At 41.3% G+C, this 23878-nt stretch overlaps 1 annotated feature.

Annotated features, from left to right (window-relative positions):
• Window positions 305-505: a silencer, noted in NCBI's record as "peak6540 fragment used in MPRA reporter construct". NCBI's record gives its function as "represses an SCP1 promoter by STARR-seq MPRAs in K562 erythroleukemia cells {active_cell/tissue: K562}" and the evidence as "EXISTENCE:reporter gene assay evidence [ECO:0000049][PMID:32103011]".

Consider the following 23878-nt stretch of genomic DNA (forward strand, 5'->3'; position numbering starts at 1 on the left):
GGAGGCTGAGGCAGGAGAATGGCATGAACCCGGGAGGCAGAGCTTGCAGTGAGCTGAGATAGCACCACTGCACTCCAGCCAGGGCGACAGAGCAGATTCCATCTCAAAAAAAAAAAAAAAAATTGTACTTAAATAGTAAGGGGATTTTATGTCCAGAAGTTTAACCAGAGTCCCTGCCTAAGAATAAATACTGTAGTCCAGGCCATAATAGCAGAATATAGAGTTCAATCCAGTACATTTCCTCCATTAAAGGAGCCTTGCCCAAATACAACTGGTACATAGTCTTTCCTGAGATTTATCTATTGGGGAGCCACACAGATCACATAAACCAAGGAAGTCAAAGGCAAATCACCAATAAAGGACTAGAATTGTATGGGTAAGCATGACTTACCCCATTGCTTAGTTCCTCTGGATCCATGGCTGAGTGTCACACCTGCATCCATGGGTGACACCTTTAACAAGTGCTGTGGCTCAGGGGACAAAGGAGGACAAACGGGGGACACCCCACTGTCTTCCCCTCCATACTGGGCCATTCCAAAGAAAAGGAGACTAAAAAGAAGAATTTTTCTCACTTATCTTTCTAGATGGGTAACAGATCATCCTTGACCTGCACTACTCTGGAGTGCATTCTGAAGCATTGGGATGCCTTTGACCCCAAGAGTTTAAAAAAAAAAAAAAAAACCAGCTGATTTTCTTTTATGCAAGGGTTTAGCCTTCTTACCATCTTGAACTAGCCTGGCCCATGGAGGGAAGCCTTGGTTTTAATACCACCTAACAATTAGATCTTTCCTGTAAATGGGAGGGGAAATGGTCCAAGATCCCCTATGTACAGGTGTTCTTTTCCCGGCAAGACAACCTAGACCTTTGCAAACATTGAACAATCAACTCACCTCTTTTAGCAGTCATATCAGGCAGGCCCAAAAAAGAGATTCCCCAAAACTAGAGAATAAACTTCCAGGGGAATCATCTGAGGCAGCTATAGAGTGTCTGGGCCCTTCTTGTTCCCCTCATTTTGGGCCCCCTCCAACCATGCCATCAGTTCCTCCAGCTCCACCATTTCCAAAACTCCCCACTCCCCCAGCTTCAATCTTATCCTTACAGAAAGTGCCCAATGGAGGTGATGCCACTAGGATTCAAATTCCTTTCACATTGCAGGACCAGGACCTTAGGCAAATAAAGGGAGACTTAGGCCAATTTTCTGATGACCCCAATAGGTATATTGAAGCTTTCCAAAATTTAACTCAGGTGTATGACCTCTCATGAAGGGATGTTATGCTGCGCCTAAGCCAAAACCCTAGCCACAGCTGAAAAATAGACAGCTCTGAAGGTGGCAGAGAATTTTGGAGACGAGCAATGTGTCTCCTGTAGTAGTCCAAAAAGAAAAAGAGAAAATAGGAAAGGTGAAGATTTAGGGGAACCATCATATCCAATAGTAAGAAAGGCAGTACCTCTTTATAACCCTGATTGGAACTCCAATGAGTGCATAGATGAATGGAAAAGAAAACATTTTGTAATGTGTGTATTGGAGGGCCTACAAAGAACTAGAGCCAAACTTCTGAATCACTCTAAACTGTTTGTGATAGACCAAAAGCCAGATGAGAATCCCTCAGGCTTTATGGAAAGGCTGAGAGAGGCACTAATAAAACATACCTCCTTATCCCCTAATTCAGTTGAGAGACAGTTCATCCTCATCCTAAAGGGCAAGTTTATTACACCGGCGGTTCCCAATATTCGAAGAAAACTGCAAAAACAAGCTGTAGGACCAGATAGCACCTTGGAAAACCTCCTGAGGATAGTCACCTCAGTCTTTTCTAATAGGGACAAGGAGGAGGCTCAAGAGAAAGAGAGAAAGCAAAAGAGAAGGATATAGCTGCGTTGCAGACTTGCAAAGCCCAGGATCCCCAAGGCGCATCTACTAGTTGCTACTGGTGTGGCAACTCAGGGCACTTCAGGAAGGAGTGCCCAGGCAGCAAGAAGAAGCCATCTTGACCTTGTGCAGCTTGTGGTGGGAATCACTGGAGATTGGACTGCCCCCAGAGATGGAGGTCACTGGATTCAGAACCAATCTCACAGTAGTCCAATGGGACTGACAGGTCCTGGGGCTCAAATTCCTGGCTCCAGTGGCTCAAAATGCCATTACTGCATAAGAACCCCAGGTGATTATAGAAATTGAAGAAAGGAGGGTGGACCTCATAGACACTGGAGGTAGCCTTTCTCTTCTCCTCTCTAGTCCAGGCCTCCCCGTCCTTGTAGCATAACCATGATGAGTGTCTCAGGAAAGGTGCTAACCTCATATTTTTCTCAACTTATTAGTTGTAGTTTGGGGGGCCTATTATTTACACATGCCTTTTTAATCATGGCTGAAAGTCCTATTCCTTTATTAGGTAGAGATATTTTAGCGCACTTGGGGGCCAGCATCTTTATAGCCCCAGGACAAACTCTTTGTCTCCTCCTGGTGGAAGCTAATCTTAATCCAGAAGTGTGGGCAACACAAGGAAGAATTGGTCAAGCTATAACTGTTTGGCCAGTCTGGATCCATCTTAAGGATCCCACCTCTTTTCCTAACAGAGACAATAGCCCCTAAAGCCAGAGGATAGGAAATGGCTAGAAGCCATTATTAATAACCTGACAATGTGGGGCCACCTCAAACCCTGTAACAGTTCCTGCAACACCCCAATATTAGGAGTGCAAAAACCTAGAGGGAATGAAGGCTAGTTCAGCACCTTGCCTCATTAATGAAGCTGTAGTTCCAATCCATGCAGTGGTACCTAATCCCTATACCTGAGGGAACTAAATGGTTCTCAGTATTAGATCCAAAGGATGCGTTTTTCTGTATAACATTACATCCTGACCCTCAATAATGATTTGCTTTCGAAGATTCCTCTGGCCAAACAACCCAGTTAACATGGATGGTGTTGCCGCAGGGATTTTGATACAGACCTCACTTATCTGGCCAGGCACTGTCAAAGGACCTCTCTGAGTTTTCCCATTCTCAGATCAGGGTCTTGCGATCTGCAGATGACCTACTGCTCTGCTCATTTTAGTATGCAACCTGCATTGCTTTAATATATTATTCCTTCAGTTTTGATCCTCCAGGATATGATTCATTTCTTCAGGATATGATTCAGTTCTTCAGGATATGATTCAGTTCTTCAGGATATGATGGTGATGTACAGATGGGGTTTTGGTGAGGATGTCCTTTCTGTTTGTTAGTTTTCCTTCTAACAGTCAGGACCCTCAGCTGCAGGTCTGTTGGAGTTTGCTGGAGGTCCACTCCAGACTCTGTTTGCCTGGGTATCAGGAGTGGTGGCTGAAGAACAGTGGATATTGGTGAACCGCAAATGCTGCTGCCTGATCGTTCATCTGGAAGTTTTGTCTCAGAGGAGTACCTGGCTGTGTGAGGTGTCAGTCTGCCCCTACTGGGGCGTGCCTCCCAGTTAGGCTACTCGGAGGTCAGGGACCCACTTGAGGAGGCAGTCTGCCCATTCTCAGATCTCAAGCTGCATGCTGGGAGAACCACTACTCTCTTCAAAGCTGTCAGACAGGGACATTGAAGTCTGCAGAGGTTTCTGCTGCCTTTTGTTTGGCTATGCCCTGCCCCCAGAGGTGGAGTCTATAGAGGCAGGCAGGCCTCCTTGAGTTGCAGTGGGCCCCACCCAGTTCGAGCTTCCCGGCTGCTTTGTTCACCTACTCAAGCCTTGGCAATGGTGGTCGCCCCTCCCCCAGCCTCCCTGCCGCCTTGCAGTTTGATCTTAGACTGATGTGCTAGCAATAAGTGAGGCTCCGTGGGCATAGGACCCTCCGAGCCAGGCACGGGATATAATCTCCTGGTGTGCCATTTGCTAAGACTGTTGGAAAAGTGCAGTATTAGGGTGGGAGTGACCCGATTTTCCAGGTGCCGTTTGTCACCCCTTTCTTTGACTAGGAAAGGGAATTCCCTGACCCCTTGCACTTCCTATGTGAGGCAATGCCTTGCCCTGCTTTGGCTCATTCTTGGTGCACTGCACCCACTATCCTGCACCCACTGTCTGACACTCCCCAGTGAGATGAACCCAGTACTTCAGTTGGAAATGCAGAAATCACCTGTCTTCTGCATCACTCATGCTGGGAGCTGTAGACTGGAGCTGTTCCTATTCAGCAACCTTGGCTCCACCCCACCTTAACCTTCCAGTTTTATGGATGCTGGTAGAAGGCATGAGACACTGAAGTATGACAAAATCCCTACTATTTACTGTATAACTGAAGGCCAAACTTCATGTTTGTATTTGTCCATGCTACTTTTTTTTAGAGGGATTTCAAAAAGCTCAAGTGGACATTGCACATGGGAAAGATTTGTGTCACAGCTGAGCAATCTTAATATTAAGAAACCCCAATCTTTTTAAAGTAGGTTACATGCAAACCTGTCCAACTTTTGCCTCACAGAGAAAAATTGTCTTTATTACATTAGTTGAGTAATTTATCTGTCATTTACCTGAAGATAAAAACGACTACCCTTCTTTCCAGGCTATTTGTGTACAAAAATCTTTGAAAAATAACCTGGAATAGGACAGATATGTCATGTAATAAATAACAAAACAACAACTCTAAGAGACTTTTGGAGAATTATATCTCAGCAGCATGCATCTTTTCCGTTAAATGTTGCACTAAATAATCCTCTGATGAAAAAGATCCGTTGAAGATTTTTGACATGAAGACTAACTTTGGTTGTTTTGTGTTGTGGGATTGCTAAAGATTGAAAGATACAGGGAGAAATAGAATTACCAGGGACTTTACAGAAATGGAAGTTCTATGTGTGGAGTAATGTAATTCTGGGTGAGTGAATGACAGGTGAGAGTTAGTGAAAATAAAACACAATTTAACATTTTTACATATTAAGAACATGCTGAAATTGGTTAGCTTATTGGAAAAATTTAAATGACTACCTATGTATACAGCATATTTATTCTGAATGAATTGCTAATCTAGATTTGAAAGACAAAATAATTATTTTTACAACATCAACTGCATTTCCATATACCAACAATGAGCAATTTAAAAGGAAATTAGGAAAACATTTTAAGGTTTGCAACAACCTTAAAAATATAATGTTTAGCAATAAATTTAATAAGGAGGTAAAAAAAACTGTGCAATGAAAACTACAGGATCAGACTATTTCTGAAATAAACTGAAAAAGACTTAAATAAGTGGCAAGGAATTCCGTGTTCATGGACTGGAAGACTTAATCATGTTAAGATGACAACACTACCCAAAGTAGTGTACAGATGTAAAGCAATCCCAATTTTTAATTTTGTCCAACTATTTTCTCTCTATAAACAGAATAGCCCATTCTAAAAGTCATATGGAATTTGAAGGTACCCTGAATGGCCAAAATAATCTTAAAAAGAAGAACAAAGTTAGGGGCTCACAATTTTAAATTTCAGAACATACAAAGCTATTATAATTAAAACAGTTTGATACTGGCAGAAGAACAAGTATAAAGACCAAAAAAACCCAGAATAGATAACCCAGAAAAAACCCTGGCATAAATTATTAATTGTCTTTTGACAAGGGTGCCTAAACCATTATGTAAAGGAAAGGACAGTTTGTTCAACAAGTGATACTGGGAAAACAAGTCCGCATTTAAAACAGTAAAGTTGGCTGGGCACAGTGGCTCTCGCTTGTAATCTCAGCACTCTGGGAGGCTGAGGCAGGCAGATCACCTGAGGTTAGGTGAAACCTGAGGTTGGCCAATGTAGTGAAACCCTATCTCTACTAAAAATACAAAAATTAGCTGTGCGTGTTGGCAGGCATCTGCAATTACAGCTACTTGGGAGGTTGAGGGAGGAGATAGCTTGAACCACAGAGGTGGAAGTTGCAGTGAGCCAAGACTGCACCATTGCACTGCAGCCTGGGTGATGCAAAACTCCATCTCAAAAAAAAAAAGTTGAATTTTTATCACATTCCATGTACAAAAACCAAATAAAATGCATTCCAGACATAAAAATAAGTGTTAAAACTTTAGTGGTTTCTGATGGTTGTCTTATTTCTGTGGGGTCAGTGTTACTACTATGAACACCTCTATACACACAAACTGGAAAATTTAGAAGAGATAGATACATTCCTGGACACACAAGCCCTCCCAAGACTGAGCCAGGAAGACATTGGTTCCCTGAACAGGCCAATAACAAGCTTTGAAATTGAATCAGTAATAAATAGCTCACCAATCAAAAAAAGTCCCAGACCTTATAGATTTACAGCCACATTCTATCAAATGTACAAAAAGGGCTGGTACAATTCCTACAGAAACTATCCCAAAAAATTGAGGAGAGTCTCCTCCCCAACTCATTCTATGAGGCCAGCATCATCTTGACACTAAAACCTGGCAGAGACACAACAAAAATAGAAAACTTTAGGCCACTTGATGAACACCAATGCAAAAATTCTCAACAAAATACTTGCAAACCGAATTCAGCAGCACATCAAAAAGATAATCCATCATGATCAAGTAGCTTGCCTCCTTAGGATGAAAAACCACAAAGAGATATCACTTTACACCACTAGAGTGGCTATATAAAAAATAAAACAACAAAAATGAAAACAAGTATTGACTAGGATGTGGAGGAAGTGGAACCCTGGTGCATTGCTGGTGAGAATATAAAATGATTTATTGACTGAAAAATAGCTTGGCAGTTTATCAGAAAGTTCTATGTAGAATTACCATATGTTCCAGCAACGCCATTACAGGTGTATATCCAAAATAATTAAAAGCAGGGACTTAAGCTGCAACCTCTGCCTCCAGGGCTTAAGCAATTCTCGTGCCTCAGTCTCCCGAACAGCTGGGACTACAGGCATGCACCACTATACCCAGTGAATTTTTGTATTTTCAGTAGAGACAGGGTTTTGCCATGTTGCCTAGGCTGGTCTCAAACTCCTGAGCTTAAGTGATCTGCCCTCCCCAGCCTCCCAAAATTCTGGGATTACAGGCGTGAGCCACCATGGCTGGCCTGATATTCAATCTAAGAACTGCATGCAGAGATGTGTTCAGGTTTTAAAATTTTATTCGCTTATGCACTGATACTTTCACATCAATTTTTATGGAAGCATCATTTACAGTACAAAATGTAAAAACAAACCCAGACATCTTCTAAGAAATAAGCAGATAAAATATGGTATATACACACAATGTAATATTATTTAGCCTTAAAATGATTACAATGCTGATGAGTGCAGTGGCTCATGCTTATAATCCCAGAACTTTGGGAGGCAAAGATGAGAGGATCTCTTAAGCCTAGGAGTTTCAAACCAGCCTGGGCAACATAGCAAAATCTCATCTCTACAGAAAGTACAAAAATTTGCTGGGCTTGCTGGTGTGTGCCTGTAGTCCTAGCCGCGGGGGAAGATCATCTAAGCCTGAAGAATCACCTGAGCCTGGAGAGTTTGAGGCAGCTGTGTCATGATTGCATTGCTGTGCATTCCAGCCTGAGTGAGACTCCATCTCAAAAAAAAAAAAAAAAAGCAATGCTGATACATGCTGCAACATGGATGAACCTTGAAGACATTGTGTTATGTAAAATAAGCAAAATAAAAAAGGATACATATGTAATGTCAAATTTTGTGTGTAGGGGAATGTCATATGGGGCTGGCCCATTCTGAGCAGGAACAGATTGTTGGGAGGTTAGAGTCCTGGTGGCTCATGATGTTTACACATGAGGTCATGGCTGGCAAAGTAGGGAGGCAAGTGCTGGTGTGGTACCCATCCACACCAGTGACTGTTCTGAGCCCTAGAACTGTTATCTTGTGCCTTCCAAGGCTGAAGGTCTGTGTAGACATAAGTCTATGCTTGATCTGGGGGGCAGAAGGCTGCATGGGGTATAAGGAGCAGCAGTGATGGCCAGGAATAGCTCTGAGGCTTCCAGGTCTGTCTGCCACTTACTGTCTTTGCAGAGCTCCACACAGAAGATTGGCAAAAAGGTGTTAATGGGGTAGCGCTCTGTTTCCTTTGGTGAGGGGCAGAAGCTTGCTGCTGCCAACAAGGGCCAGCATTGAAATGAGGTGAATGGAGGAGCAGAGGGTTTTCCAAATCAGCCCAGAGAAGGCTGACAAGGGCCCCCTGCCCAGACACCACCATGGCAACTGTAAAGGACTCTGTCCCAATATTAACATATGTACATAGATGAACAAACATACCAAGATATAGTATAGATGTAGATGTTTATTCTGTTGCTTCTATTTCTCTGAATAACTTGAATGCAAACTGTAGCAAGTAAAAGACTGCATAAGTAATAAAAAACACACTAACGAAGAAAAGTCCAGAACCAGATGGCTTCACTGATAAATTGTTTTAAACATTAAAAGGTGTAACTCCAATTTTTCTGAAACTCTTTAAAAATTGCAATAAATCAATGCAATATACCAACTCAATAGAATTAATTTTAGAAAAATACATGATTATCTCAATTGATAGAGAAAAAATTTGAGATAATCCAAAAGTCTATTATATTAGTAAACTAGATATAGACTAATACTTCCTCAACATAATAAAAGGTACATGTAAAAAAACTCAAAACTACCATTATATGCAATGATGAAAGACTAAATGCTTTCTCCATAAAATCAGGAATGAGACAAGGATACCTGCATTCATCACTTCTGATCAACATTGTAACAGAAATCAGGCCAGAATAATTGGGCAATACAAAAAAAGAAATGCTTCAATTGGAAAAGAAAAAGCTTATTTTTATATACAGATGATATAATTTCATACATATAATTAAAATCCTAAGTAATAATCATAAAACTGTTAACACTAATGATCAGATTCTGCAAAGTTGTAAGATACAAGATCAATACATACACATTAATGGAATCTAATTAAGGGTCAGGAAATAAATCCATACATGTAATTTTTTGACATGGACTTGGCAAAGCTGCAGGAATTATTGGAAACCACTTATTTCATGTATTTTAGCCCCATTTTAGGAGATCCTTCCTTATTGGGGAATAGTTAATAACTTTCCATCCGTGGGCAGAAAGCCTATTACTAGAATATGTAATTTTCAAAGAAAGCTTCCATTTTAAGATAAAAGTGAATTTAAGACAAAGTTTGAAAGATACAAACAAACTTTCTTTACTACTTTAATGAAAAAACAGTGTTTGGTGTTTTATTTTGTCCAAATTTGAAATTAAATGTTCATTTCAATTCTTCCAATAGGCATAAAAAATAAACAGGTTATTGAAAAAAATTCTTAGAACATGTTCAAATGTTAATTTAGTATTAAATAAGTTTACAAAATATGACCTGGGTCCTGATCTATTTATATTTCTAGTGAACCCAGGGAAGCATAAATGAGCTGGAACACATTTATCTATCAGGAAAATAACTTCGGCCTAGTTGCACCAAGACTAGCAGCAATACTGACTACAGGTGTGCACCTGCCACCAGGTACAGATACTACTCTCATGATTCCACACGGTGGAGGTAAAATAATGTTATCTTTGGTGATGTTGATCAGCTCTTTCACCTGCAACCTTACTAAAGCCAGCATCTCCATTTTGTTCACAGAGGTAATGTAGCTTTTCATCTTGTCTTCTTTCCTTGCAGAAACAGATATGAAGAATTCTGTGACAATAAACTGGGGACACAGAGTGATTTTTTTTTTTTACATAGAGTCTCACTCTGTCACCCAGGCTGGAGTGCAGTGGCTCAATCTCGGCTCACCGCAACCTCCGCCTCCCTGCAACCTACGCCTCCCAGGTTTAAGCGATTCTTCTGCCTCAGGCTCCTGAGTAGCTGGGACTACAGGTGTGCGCCACCACGCCCGGCTAATTTTTGTATTTTTAATAGAGTTGGGGTTTCACAATTGACCAGGCTGGTCTTTTTTTTTTTTTTTTTTTTTTTTTTTTGAGATAGAGTCACGCTCTGTCACCCAGGCTGGAGTGCCGTGGCACAATCTCGGCTCACTGCAAGCTGCGCCTCCCGGGTTCACGCCATTCTCCTGCCTCAGCCTCCCGAGTAGCTGGGACTACAGGTGCCTGCCATCATGCCTGGCTAATTTTTTTGTATTTTTAGTAGAGACGGGGTTTCATTGTGTTAACCAGGATGGATGGATCTCCTGACCTCGTGATCCGCCCGCCTCGGCCTCCCAAATTGCTGGGATTACAGGCGTGACCCACTGCGCCCAGCCCAACCAGGCTGGTCTTGAACTCCTGACCTCATGATCTGCCCACCTTGGCCTCCCAAAGTGCTGGGATTACAGGCGTGAGCCACCGCGCCTGGCCCAAAGTGAATGTTTTACAGTTCCACCTGTGTACAGACAGAGATCTCTTTTTAGTTTACAGGCCAGTCTCTCTCAAGCACTTGAAACCTCTCTGCAAATGACTCTTGACACTGGCTAAACTGAGACAAATGGGATATTAAATTCTATGAAGGCAGGAGTTCCTGAGTTCCCGAATGACCATGTAGAGAGGAGGTGCCTTTTCAACTTGGTCTCCCAACAGCACTGTTATGTGTGTTAAAATATGCTGTTAATCTACTGCAAATTAGGGTGCGGTAGTATTTGACACTTCAGTATAACCTAAACCATGCACTTAAAAACCTAATCACTGAATTAATTTAAAAGGCATTCTTATAGTATATTTAAGATGACAAATGTTAAGTTGGTCTTGCAATTTTTACCCTTCCATTTTGACCATACTATGTTATGTTAGAGAACTTGAACCACACAAAATAAGTGCTGGGATACAGGTGTGGCTTCCCAAAGTGCTGGGATTACAGGTGTGAGCCACCATGCCCACCTAAAAACTGTTTTTATACTCAAACATCCTGTTGGGCAAATGCCAAATTAAAAAATTGTGACATTTGTTAAAAATTGGGAAGAAAGACTTTAATACAATTGCAGTAGATGTTATGGCCATTGTAATAGGATTCAGAAATTGATCATAACTCTGAACACAGATGACTCAAGATTTATAGTCAATAAGCAGATAAGTCAGTGGATAAAAACTTACTGAAGGGGTGGAGCCAAGATGGCCAAATAGGAACAGCTCCAGTCTACAGCTCCCAGCGTGAACGATGCAGAAGACGGGTGATTTCTGCATTTCCAACTGAGGTACCGGGTTCATCTCACTGGGGATTGTCGGACAGTGGGTGCAGGACAGTGCGTGCAGCACACGGAGCATGAGCCAAAGAAGGGCGAGGCATTGCCTCACCCGGGAAGCACAAGGGGTCAGGGAATTCCCTTTCCTAGCCAAGGAAAGGGGTGACAGATGGCACCTGGAAAATTGGGTCACTCCCACCCTAATACTGTGCTTTTCCAGTGGTCTTAGCAAATGGCACACCAGGAGATTATATCCCGTGCCTGGCTTGGAGGGTCCTGCACCCACAGAGCCGCACTCATTGCTAGCACTTCAGTCTGAGATCAAACTGCAAGGCGGCAGTGAGGCTGAGGGAGGGGCGCTCACCATTGCTGAGGCTTGAGTAGGTAAACAAAGTGGCCAGGAAGCTCAAACTGGGTGGAGCCCACCACAGCTCAAGGAGGCCTGCCTTCCTCTGTAGACTCCACCTCTGGGGGCAGGGCATAGCCAAACAAAAGGCAGCAGAAACCTCTGCAGACTTCAATGTCCCTGTCTGACAGCTTTGAAGAGAGTAGTGGTTCTCCCAGCATGCAGCTTGAGATCTGAGAATGGACAGACTGCCTCCTCAAGTGGGCCTCTAATCCCTGAGTAGCCTAACTGGGAGGCACGCCCCAGTAGGGGCAGACTGACACCTCACACAGCCGGGTGCTCCTCTGAGACAAAACTTCCAGAGGAACAATCAGGCAGCAACACTTGCTGTTCACCAATATCCGCTGTTCTGCAGCCTCCGCTGCTGAGACCCAGGCAAACAGGGCCTGGAGTGGACCTCCAGCAAACTCCAACAGACCTGCAGCTGAGGGTCCTGACTGTTAGAAGGAAAACTAACAAACAGAAAGGACATCCACACCAAAACCCCATCTGTACGTCGCCATCATCAAAGACCAAAGGTAGATAAAAACCACAACGATGGGGAAAAAACAGAGCAGAAAAACCGAAAATTTAAAAAATCAGAGTGCCTCTCCTTCTCCAAAGGAATGCAGCTCCTCACCAGCAATGGAACAAAGCTGGATGGATAATGACTTTGACGAGTTGAGAGAAGAAGGCTTCAGATGATCAAACTACACTGAGCTAAAGGAGGAAGTTTGAACCCATGGCAAAGAAGTTAAAAACCTTGAAAAAGGATTAGATGGATGGCTAATTAGAATAACCAATGCAGAGAAGTCCTTAAAAGACCTGATGGAGCTGAAAACCATGGCACGAGAACTATGAGACAAATGCACAAGCCTCAGTAGCTGATGCGATCAACTGGAAGAAAGGGTATCAGTGATAGAAGATCAAATGAATGAAAAGAAGTGAGAAAAGAAGTTTGGAGAAAAAAGAATAAAAAGAAATGAACAAAGCCTGATTGGTGTACCTGAAAGTGATGGGGAGAATGGAACCAAGTTGGAAAAACAGTCTGCAGGATATTATCCAGGAGAACTTCCTCAATCTAGCAAGGCAGGCCAACATTCAAATTCAGGAAATACAGAGAATGCCACAAAGATACTCCTCGAGAAGAGCAACTCCAAGACACATAATTGTCAGATTCACCAAAGTTGAAATGAAGGAAAAAATGTTAAGGGCAGCCAGAGAAAAAAGTTGGGTTACCCAAAAAGGGAAGCCCATCAGACTAACAGCTGATCTCTTGGCAGAAACTCTACAATCCAGAAGAGAGTGGGGGCCAATATTCAACATTCTTAAAGAAAAGAATTTTCAACCCAGAATTTCATATCCAGCCAAACTAAGCTTCATAAGTGAAGGAGAAATAAAATCCTTTACAGACAAGCAAATGCCGAGAGATTTTGTCACCACCAGGCCTGCCCTACAAGAGCTTCTGAAGGAAGCACTAAACATGGAAAGGAACAACCGGTACCAGCCACTGCAAAAACATGCCAAACTGTAAAGACCATTGAGGCTAGGGAGAAACTGCATCAAGTAATGAGCAAAATAACCAGCTAACATCATAAAGACAGGATCAAATTCACACACAACAATATGAACCTTAAATGTAAATGGGCTGAATGCTCCAATTAAAAGACACAGACTGGCAAATTGGATAAAGAGTCAAGACCCATCAGTGTGCTGTATTCAGGAAACCCATCTCACGTGCAGACAGACATAGGCTCAAAATAAAGGAATGGAGGAAGATCTACCAAGCAAATGGAAAATGAAAAAAGGCAGGGGTTGCAATCCTAGTCTCTGATAAAGCAGACTTTAAACCAACAAAGATCAAAAGAGACAAAGAAGGCCATTACCTACTGGTAAAGGGATCGATTCAACAAGAAGAGCTAACTATACTAAATATATATGCACCCAATACAGGAGCACCCAGATTCATAAAGCAAGGCCTTAGAGACCTACAAGGAGACTTAGACTCCCACACAATAATAATGGGAGACTTTAACACCCCACTGTCAACATTAGACAGATCAACGAGACAGAAAGTTAACAAGGATATCCAGGAATTGAACTCAGCTCTGCACCAAGTGGACCTAATAGACATCTACAGAACTCTCCACCCCAAATCAACAGAATATACATTCTTTTCAGCACCACACCACACCTATTCCAAAATTGACCACATAGTTGGAAGTAAAGCACTCCTCAGCAAATGTAAAAGAACAGAAATTATAACAAACTATCTCTCAGACCACAGTGCAATCAAACTAGAACTCAGGATTAAGAAACTCACTCAAAACCGCTCAACGGCATGGAAACTGAACAACCTGCTCCTGAATGACTACTGGGTACATAGCGAAATGAAGGCACAAATAAAGATGTTCTTTGAAACCAATGAGAACAAAGACACAACATACCAGAATCTCTGGGACGCATTCAAAGCAGTGTGTAGAGGGAAATTTATAACACTAAATGCCCCCACAAGAGAAAGCAGGAAAGATCTAAAATTGACACCCTAACATCACAATTAAAAGAGCTAGAGAAGCAAGAGCAAACACATTCAAAAGCTAGCAGAAGGCAAGAAATAACTAAGATCAGAGCAGAACTGAAGGAAATAGAGACACAAAAAACCCTTCAAAAAATCAATGAATCCAGGAGCTGGTTTTTTGAAAGATCAACAAAATTGATAGACCGCTAGCAAGACTAATAAAGAAGAAAAGAGAGAAGAATCAAATAGACGCAATAAAAAAATGATAAAGGGGATATCACCACTGATCCCACAGAAATACAAACTACCATCAGAGAATACTATAAACACCTCTACACAAATAAACTAGAAAATCTAGAAGAAATGGATAAATTCCCCAACACATACACCCTCCCAAGACTAAACCAGGAAGAAGTTGAATCTCTGAATAGACCAATAACAGGCTCTGAAATTGAGGCAAAAATTAATAGCTTACTAACCAAAAAAAGTCCAGGACAAGATGGATTCACAGCCTAATTCTACCAGAGGTACAAAGAGGAGCTGGTACCATTCCTTCTGAAACTATTCCAATCAATAGAAAAAGAGGGAATCCTCCCTAACTCATTTTAAGAGGCCAGCATCATCCTAATACTAAAGCCTGGCAGAGTAACAACAAAAAAGAGAACTTTAGACCAATATCCCTGATGAACATCGATGCAAAAATCCTCAATAAAATACTGGCAAACCGAATCCAGCAGCACATCAAAAAGCTTATCCACCATGATCAAGTGGGCTTCATTCCCGGGATGCAAGGCTGGTTCAACATATGCAAATCAATAAACGTAATCCAGCATATAAACAGAACCAATGACAAAAACCACATGATTATCTCAATAGATGCAGAAAAGGCCTTTGACAAAATTCAACAATCCTTTATGCTAAAAACTCAATAAATTAGGTATTGATGGGACGTATCTCAAAATAATAAGAGCTATCTATGACAAACCCACAGCCAATATCATACTGAATGGGCAAAAACTGGAAGCATTCCCTTTGAAAACTGGCACAGGACAGACAGGGATGCCCTCTCTCATCACTCCTATTCAACATAGTGTTGGAAGTTCTGGCCAGGAAAATCAGGCAGGAGAAGGAAATAAATGGCATTCCATTAGAAAAAAGGAAATGAAATTGTCCCTGTTTGCAGATGACATGATTGTACATCTAGAAAACCCCATTGTCTCAGCCCAAAATCTCCTTAAGCTGATAAGCAACTTCAGCAAAGTCTCAGGATACAAAATCAATGTGCAAAAATCACAAGCATTCTTATACACCAATAACAGACAGAGAGCCAAATCATGAGTGAACTCTCATTCACAATTGCTTCAAAGAGAATAAAATACCTAGTAATCCAACTCACAAGGGACGTGAAGGACCTCTTCAAGGAGAACTACAAACCACTGCTCAATGAAATAAAAGAGGATACAAACAAATGGAAGAACATTCCATGCTCATGGGTAGGAAGAATCAATATCGTGAAAATGGCCATACTGCCCAAGGTAATTTGTAGATTCAATGTCATCCCCATCAAGCTACCAATGACTTTCTTCACAGAATTGGAAAAAACTACTTTAAAGTTCATATGGCACCAAAAAAGAGCCCGCATCGCCAAGTCAATCCTAAGCCAAAAGAACAAAGCTGGAGGCATCACGCTACCTGACTTCAAACTATACTGCAAGGCTACAGTAACCAAAACAGCATGGTACTGGTACCAAAACAGAGATATAGACCAATGGAACAGAACAGAGCCCTCAGAAATAATGCTGCACATCTACAACTATCTGATCTTTGACAAAGCTGACAGAAACAAGCAATGGGGAAAGGATTCCCTGTTTAATAAATGGTGCTGGGAAAACTGGCTAGCCATAAGTAGAAAGCTGAAACTGGATCCCTTCCTTACACCTTATACAAAAATTAATTCAAGATGGATTAAAGACTTACATGTTAGACCTAAAACTGTAAAAACCCTAGAAGAAGACCTAGGCAATACCATTCAGGACATAGGCATGGGCAAGGACTTCATGTCTAAAACACCAAAAGCAATGGCAACAAAAGCCAAAATTGACAAATGGGATCTAATTAAACTAAAGAGCTTCTGCAACAGCAAAAGAAACTACCATCAGAGTGAACAGGCAACCTACAGAATGGGAGAAAATTTTCACAACCTACTCATCTGACAAACGGCTGATATCCAGAATCTACAATGAACTCAAACTAATTTACAAGAAAAATACAAACAACCCCATCAACAAGTGGGCAAAGGATATGAACAGACACTTCTCAAAAGAAGACATTTATGCAGCCAAAAAAACACATGAAAAAATGCTCATCATCACTGGCCATCAGAGAAATGCAAATCAAAACCACAATGAGATACCATCTCACACCAGTTAGAATGGCCATCATTAAAAAGTCAGGAAACAACAGGTGCCAGTGAGGATGAGGAGAAATAGAAGCAGTTTTACACTGTTGGTGGGACTGTAAACTAGTTCAACCATTGTGGAAGTCAGTGTGGCGATTCCTCAGGGATCTAGAACTAGAAATACCATTTGACTCAGCCATCCCATTACTGGTTATATACCCAAAGGATTATAAATCATGCTGCTATAAAGAGACATGCACAGATATGTTTACTGTGGCACTATTCACAATAGCAAAGACTTGGAACCAACCCAAATGTCCAACAATGATAGACTGGATTAAGAAAATGTGACACATATACACCATGGAATACTATGCAGCCATAGAAAATGATGAGTTCATGTCCTTTTTAGGGACATGGATGAAGCCGGAAACCATCACTCTCAGCAAACTATCGCAAGGACAAAAAACCAAACACCTCATGTTCTCACTCATAGGTGGGCATTGATCAATGAGAACACATGGACACAGGAAGGGGAGCATCACACACTGGGGCCTGTTGTGGGGTGGGGGAAGGGGGGAGGGATAGCATTAGGAGATACACCTAATGTTAAATGACTAGTTAATGGGTGCAGTACACCAACATGGCACATGTACCCATATGTAACAAACCTGCACTTTGTGCACATGTACCCTAAAACTTAACGTATAAAAAATTACTGAAAAAAATTGATAACATATCAAAGGAAGAGGCCTTTTTAAAAACAGAATTCTGTCTACAGGCAAGTTAAGGACTTAAATATTAAGGAAGAGGAATTCGAATTTTAATAGATGTAAAGGATATGTTGATTTTTACTGAGCAATCTTAGCAGGATTTCTGAAAATGAGCTTCTCAAATCAGGAGCTGGGCAACAAGTCAAGGTTGGCTTAGTCAAAGAGAGAGTTCAGTTAAGCCTGACTAACCTTTGGTCATAAAGGGAGTGCTTGTCAGAACCAAGACTTTTTCCCATCTGGTCTGAAAATAAATATACACCAAAAGAGGCTTTGTTTGGAAAATAAGTGCCCATTTCACCTGAGAAAAAACTCCACCTTCTCCTGTTTATCTTTGAATTTAGTGTAGAAAAAGAGAACTCATCATTGCCACAATTTTTACTTTGCTTTCATTCTTAAAAACAGAGATTCAGTTTTATTCAAACAGCAACTTACCAAGCACAAAAATTATAGTTTCTGACCCCTATTGAAGCTAACAATGACTAGAAGATGTTCAAGACAATTGGGTGTAACCAGAAGTATTGATGGGACTTCAGGGAGACTCCTCAGATGGAGCTGACTCAGCTGTGTGAGCCACTTCGGCCTTGCATCTTTCCTCCTTCCTGCTCTTTGAAAGGCACATGGTTGCTGGTACAGGCTGGTGTTCCTGTAGACATCTTGGGTCATGAGACAACCTACAGGGTAAAAACCATCTATGGAAATATTGTAGCAGAGAAGGGTGCCAGGATGGCTGATTGGAAGCAGCTACCATATGTGGCTGTCATGGAAAGGAACAAAGGGGGATAGTAAATACAACACCTTCAACTGAAACACGTAGGTATTTGCACTGGGACTAATGAAGGAAACAGCTCAACCCACCGAAAATGGAGAAAAGCAGGGCATGGCAACCACCCACCCTGGAGTGACACAGAGCCAAGGGAACCTACCTTGCTCAGGAAAGTGGTGACTGAATATGTGACCCTGGGAAACCACACTTCTTCCATGGATCTTTGCAACCCTCAGCTCAGGAGATCTTCTCATGAACCCATTCCACCAGGGCCTTTGTTCTGACACACAGAGCTGTGTGGTCTTGGCAGAGCAACTGCTCAGACACAAAGAGAATCTCAGGAGCTTTACACACTCTGGCTCCAGGATCTCCAGCAAAGGTGACTGCAACTCAGACAAGGCAGGAAGTTGGACCTCCATAAACACCGCTAGAAAGGAAGCTGAATCATGTGGCTGAGCAGCATCAGTCTGTGGGCCCCAATACCATGGCACCTTATAGGATAAGACCCACTGGCTTGGAATTCCAGCCAACCCCTAGTAATAGTATTGCACCTACCTGGGATGGGACAGAGCTCCTGAAGGCAGAGGCAGGGTCGATATCTGTTGTTTGGATGACTTAGCCATTCCAGTCTGTAGGTTTAGGAGAGTCCAAACAAAGCTGATGGCAGATAAAAGGAACCCCAAGCACAGCACAGTGGTTCTACCAAAATGTGGACAGACTGCTTCTTTAAGTGGGACCCTGACACATTTTACATCTCAGGGTGGGGCCTCCTACTGGGGACTCCAGCTAGCCCCTTCCATATTCTCCAGCAGACAGAATTTTGATTTCTCCCTGGATGCAGTGCCCAGTGGGAGGAGTAGGCCACCATATTTGCTGTTTGGATAACTCAGCCATTCCAGCCTGTGGGCTTAGGAGAGTCCAAACCATCCAGGGGCAGAAGAGATCCCTCAGCACAGCACAGTGGCTCTACTATGATGTGATCAGACTGCTTCTTTAGATGAGACCATAATAAGCTCCTCATCTCTGGGTGGGTCTTCCCAACCAGGGCCTCCAGCCACTCCCACTGATGTTCTCTGGCCAACAGAGAACTTGAAAACTTTCTGGGACAGAGTTCCCAGAGAGGTTGACCACCTTCTTTGCTGTTTCAGCAATTTAGCTGTTTCAGCAATTTAGCTGTTTCAGCCTCCAGGCTTTGAAGAGCCCAATCTGATGAGAGGCAGAAATGGTACCCCAGCACAGCATGGCTGCCCTATGAAAGTGGGGCTAGACTGTTGTGGGAAGTCAGGGACCCTGAATGGAGGGACCTGCTGAAGCCATGTCAGAAGAATATAAATTGTGAAGATTTCATGGACATTTATCACTTCCCCAATCAATACCCTTATAATTTCTTATGCCTGTCTTTAATCTCTTAATCCCATCATTTTAGTAAGCTGAGGATATATGTCACATCAGGACCCTGTGATGATTGCGTTAACTGCACAAATTGTTCATAAAGCATGTGTGTTTGAACAATATGAAATCTGGGCACCTTGAAAAAAGAACAGGATAACAGTGATGTTCAGGGAACAAGGGAGATAACCATTAGGTCTGACTGCCTGGGAGCCAGGCAGGACAGAGCCATATTTCCCTTATTACTGAAAACAGGTAAGAGAAATATTGCTGAATTCTTTCCCCAGTAAGGAATATTAATAACAGCCCTGGGAAAAGAATGCATTCCCAGGGGGGGCCTCTAAAATGGCTGCTCTGGGGGGTTGTCTGCCTTATGCAGTTGCAGATAAGGGATGAAACATGCCTTGGCCTCCTGCAGCGCCCCCAGGCTTGCTAGGATTAGGAAATTCCAGCCTGGCGAATTCTAGTCAGACCGGTTCTCTGATCTTGAACCCTGTTAAGATGTTTGTCAATGACAATGCATACACAGCAGGACATGCAACTTCATTAGTAATTCTAGTTTTGCCCTGACCTTGTGATCTCACCCTGACCTTCTGCCTTGTGATCTTTTGCTGCCCTTGAAGCATGTTGTCTCTGCGACCCACATCTTATTCATACACTCCCTCCCCTTTGAAAATTACTAATAAAAACTTGCTGGTTTTATGGTTCGGGGGCATCACAGAACCTGCCAACAAGTGATGTCTTCCCTGGACACCCAGCTTTAAAATTTATCTCTTTTGTACTCTTTCTCTTTGTTTCTCAGACCGGCTGACACTTAGGGAAAATAGAAAAGAACCTACGTTGAAATATCAGGGGCTGGTTCCCCTGATACTAGACTGCTTCTTTAAGTGGGTCCCCAATTCTGTTCCTCCTGGCTGGGTGAGACCTCCCAACTGGGGTCTCCAGTCACAGCCTACAGGTGTGTTCAAGCCAGCGGCAGGTCTGCACCTCCCCTGCAATGGAGCTTCCAGGGAAAGAGGTGGGCTGTTATCTTTGTTGTTTCACAGCACTCACTGGCAAACCCTCCAGATACTGAAAAATCCGAGATGACTAGAGACTGGGGCAGATGCCCAACAAACTGCAGCAGCCCTGCACAAAATGGCCAAACAGTTAAAAGGAAAACAAGCAAACAAACAAAAAACCCCATTCAAAGGTCAGCAACCTGAATGATTAAAGGTAGATAAGCACACAAAGGAGAGAAAGGATCAGCAGAAAAATACTAAAAACTCAAAAAGCCAGAGTTCTCTCCCTCCTCCAAATGACCACATTACTTCTCCAGCAAGAGTTCAGAATGGGGCTGAGGCTGAGATTGCTGAAATAACAAAAGTAGACCCCAGAATGTGGATAAAAATAAACTTCGCTGATGTAAAGGAGCATGTTCCAACTCAATGCAAGAAAGTTAAAAATTACAGTATAACATTGTAGGAGCTGACAAACAAATTGGCCAAGATGGAGAAGAATCTAAGCAACTGAATAGAGCTTAGAATTCAAGCTCTGTCTGCAGTGAAGCTCTATCTGTATTTCTGAAATAAGACAGGCAGACAAAAATAGAAAAAGAAAAGAATGAAAGAAAAAGAAAATAATGAAAAGGAATGAACAAAACTTCTGAGAAATATGGAATTGTATAAAGAGACAAAAATCTATAACTGATTAGTGTATCTGAAAGAGCTGTGGAGAATGGAACAAATTTGGAAAACATATTTCAGGATATCATCCATGAGAATGTCCTCAATCTTGCTGTACAGGCCAACATTAAAATTCAGCAAATGCAGAGAACCCCAGTAGGATACTCCATGAAAAGATCATGCTCAAGACATATAATCATCAGATTCTCCATAGTTGAAATGAAAAAAAAAGGGCAGCCAAAAAGAAAGGCCAGGTCACCTACAAAGGGATGCTCATCAGACTACCAGCAGACCTCTCAGTGAAAACCCTACAAGCCATGAAAGATTGGGGGCCAATATTTAACACTCTTAAAGAAAATAAATTGTAACCCAGAATTTTATATCTGGCCTACCAAGCCTAAGCTAGGGATAAATAAAATCCCTCTTAGACAAGCAAATGCTGAGGTAATTCATTACCACCAGATCTGCTTTTCAAGAGCTTTTGAAAGAAGCACTAATTTGGAAAGAAAAATTTATTACCAGCCACTACAAAAACACCTGAATGACACAGATCACTGACATTATGTCAACCACTTAAACAAGTCTGCAAAATGAAGAGCTAGCATCAAGATGACAGGATCAAATCTATATATAATAATACTAACCTTAAAAGTAAATAGGCTAAATGTCCCAATTACAGCACACAGAGTGGCAAGCCAAGACCCATTGGTATGCAGTCTTTAAAACATCCATCTCACATGCAATGACACACATAGGCTAAAAACAAAAGGATGGAGGAAATTTTACCAAGCAAATTGAAAACAGAAACAATCAGGGATTGCAATCCTAGTTTTCAACAAAACAGACTTTAAACCAACACAGATTAAAAAAAAGAGAGAGGCATCACATAATGGTAAAGGGTTCAATTCAACAAGAAGAACTAACTATCCTAAATACATATGCACCCAACATGAGAGTACCCAGATTCATATAACAAGTTCCTAGAGATCTTCAAAGAGACTTAGACACCCTCACTTTAATAGTGAGAGATTTTAACACACCACTGACAATATTAGACAGATCATTGAGACAGAAAATTAACAAAGATATTCAGGACCTGAACTTAGCTCTGGATAAAATGGATGTGATAGATATTTACAGAACTATCTACCCCAAATAGCAGAATACATTCTTCTCATCACCACATGGCACATTTGCTGAAATCAGCCACATAGTTGGAAGTAAAACACTCCTCAGCAAATACAAAGAACTAAAATTATAATAAATAGTGTCTCAGACTGCAGCACAATCAAATTAGAACTCAAGACTAATAAATTTACTGTAAACCATAAAATTACACGGAAATTGAAAAACCTGCTCCTGAATTAATTTTGAATAAATAATGAAATTAAGGCTAGTATCGAGAAGTTCTCTGAAACCAATGAGAACAAAGACAAAACATACCAGAATCTCTGGGACACAGCTAAGGCAGTATTAAGAGGAAAATTTATAGCACTAAATGCCCACATTAAAAAGCTAGAAAGATCCCAAGTTAAGAACTTAACAACACAACTAAAATAACTACAGAAAAAAGAGCAAAGAAATCCTAGAGCTACCAGAAGACAAGAAATAACTAAAATCAGAGTTGAACTCAAGGAAATAAAGACATGAGAAACCATTCAGAAGATCAACAAATTCAAGAGCTGATTTTTTTAAACCAATAAAGTAGATAGACCACTAGATAGACTAACAAGAAAGAAAAGATAAAAAATTCAAATAAACACAGTCAGAAATAATAGAGGTTACCACTGACTCCACAGAAATAAAAATAACTATTAGAGAATATTATAAACAACTCTATGCACATAAGCTGAAAATCCAGTAGAAATGGATAAATGTCTGGCCACACACACCCTTTCAAGACTAAACCAGGAATAAATTTAATCCCTGAAAAGACAAAAAACAGGCTCTGAAATTGAGGCAGTAATAAATAGCATAACCACAAAAAGCACAGGACCAGAAAGATTAATGGTTGAATCCTACCAGATTTACAAAGAACTGGAACAATTCCTACTAAAACTATTTCAAAAACTTGAAACAGAGGGTTTTCTCCCTAACTCTTTCTATGAGACAAGCATCATCCTGGTACCAAAACCCGGCAGAGACACAAGAAAAAAAGAAAACTTCAGGCCAATATTCCTGATGAACATTGATGCAAAAATTCTCAAAAAAGTACTGGCAAACCAAAACCAGCAGAATATCAAAAATCTTATCCACCACAATCAAGTAGGCTTCATCTGTGGGATGCAAGTTTGGTTCAACATCTACAAATCAATATGTGATTCATCACATAAACAGAACTAAAGAAAAAAATCCCACATGATTATCTCAATAGATGCAGAAAAATCTTTCAATAAAATTCAACATCCATTCATGTTAAAAACCCTCAATAAACTAAGTATTGAAAAAACATACCTCAAAATAATAAGAACCATATATGACAAACCCACAGCCAACATCATACTGAAAGGGCAAAAGCTGAAAGCATTCCCCTTTGAAACCCCTATAAGATAAGGATGCCCTCTTCCACCACTTCTATTTGAGATAGTATTGGAAGTTACTGGCCAGAGCAATCAGGCAAGAGAAAGAAATAAAAGGCATTCAAATTGAAAGAGAGGAAGTTAAACTACACCTGATGTTACATAACATGATCCTATATCCAGAAAATCCTATCGTCTCAGCCCCAAAGCTTCTTAAGCTGATAAACATCTTTAGCAAAGTCTCAAGATACAAAATCCATGTGCAAAAATCACTAGGATTCTTATACACCAACAACAGTCAAGCTGAGAGTAAAATCGTAAATGAACTCCCATTCACAATTGCCACAAAAGAATAAAATACCTAGGAATGCATCTAACAAGGGAAGTGAACATT

Source organism: Homo sapiens, chromosome 7, assembly GCF_000001405.40.
Source record: "Homo sapiens chromosome 7, GRCh38.p14 Primary Assembly".
Classification (NCBI taxonomy): domain Eukaryota; kingdom Metazoa; phylum Chordata; class Mammalia; order Primates; family Hominidae; genus Homo; species Homo sapiens.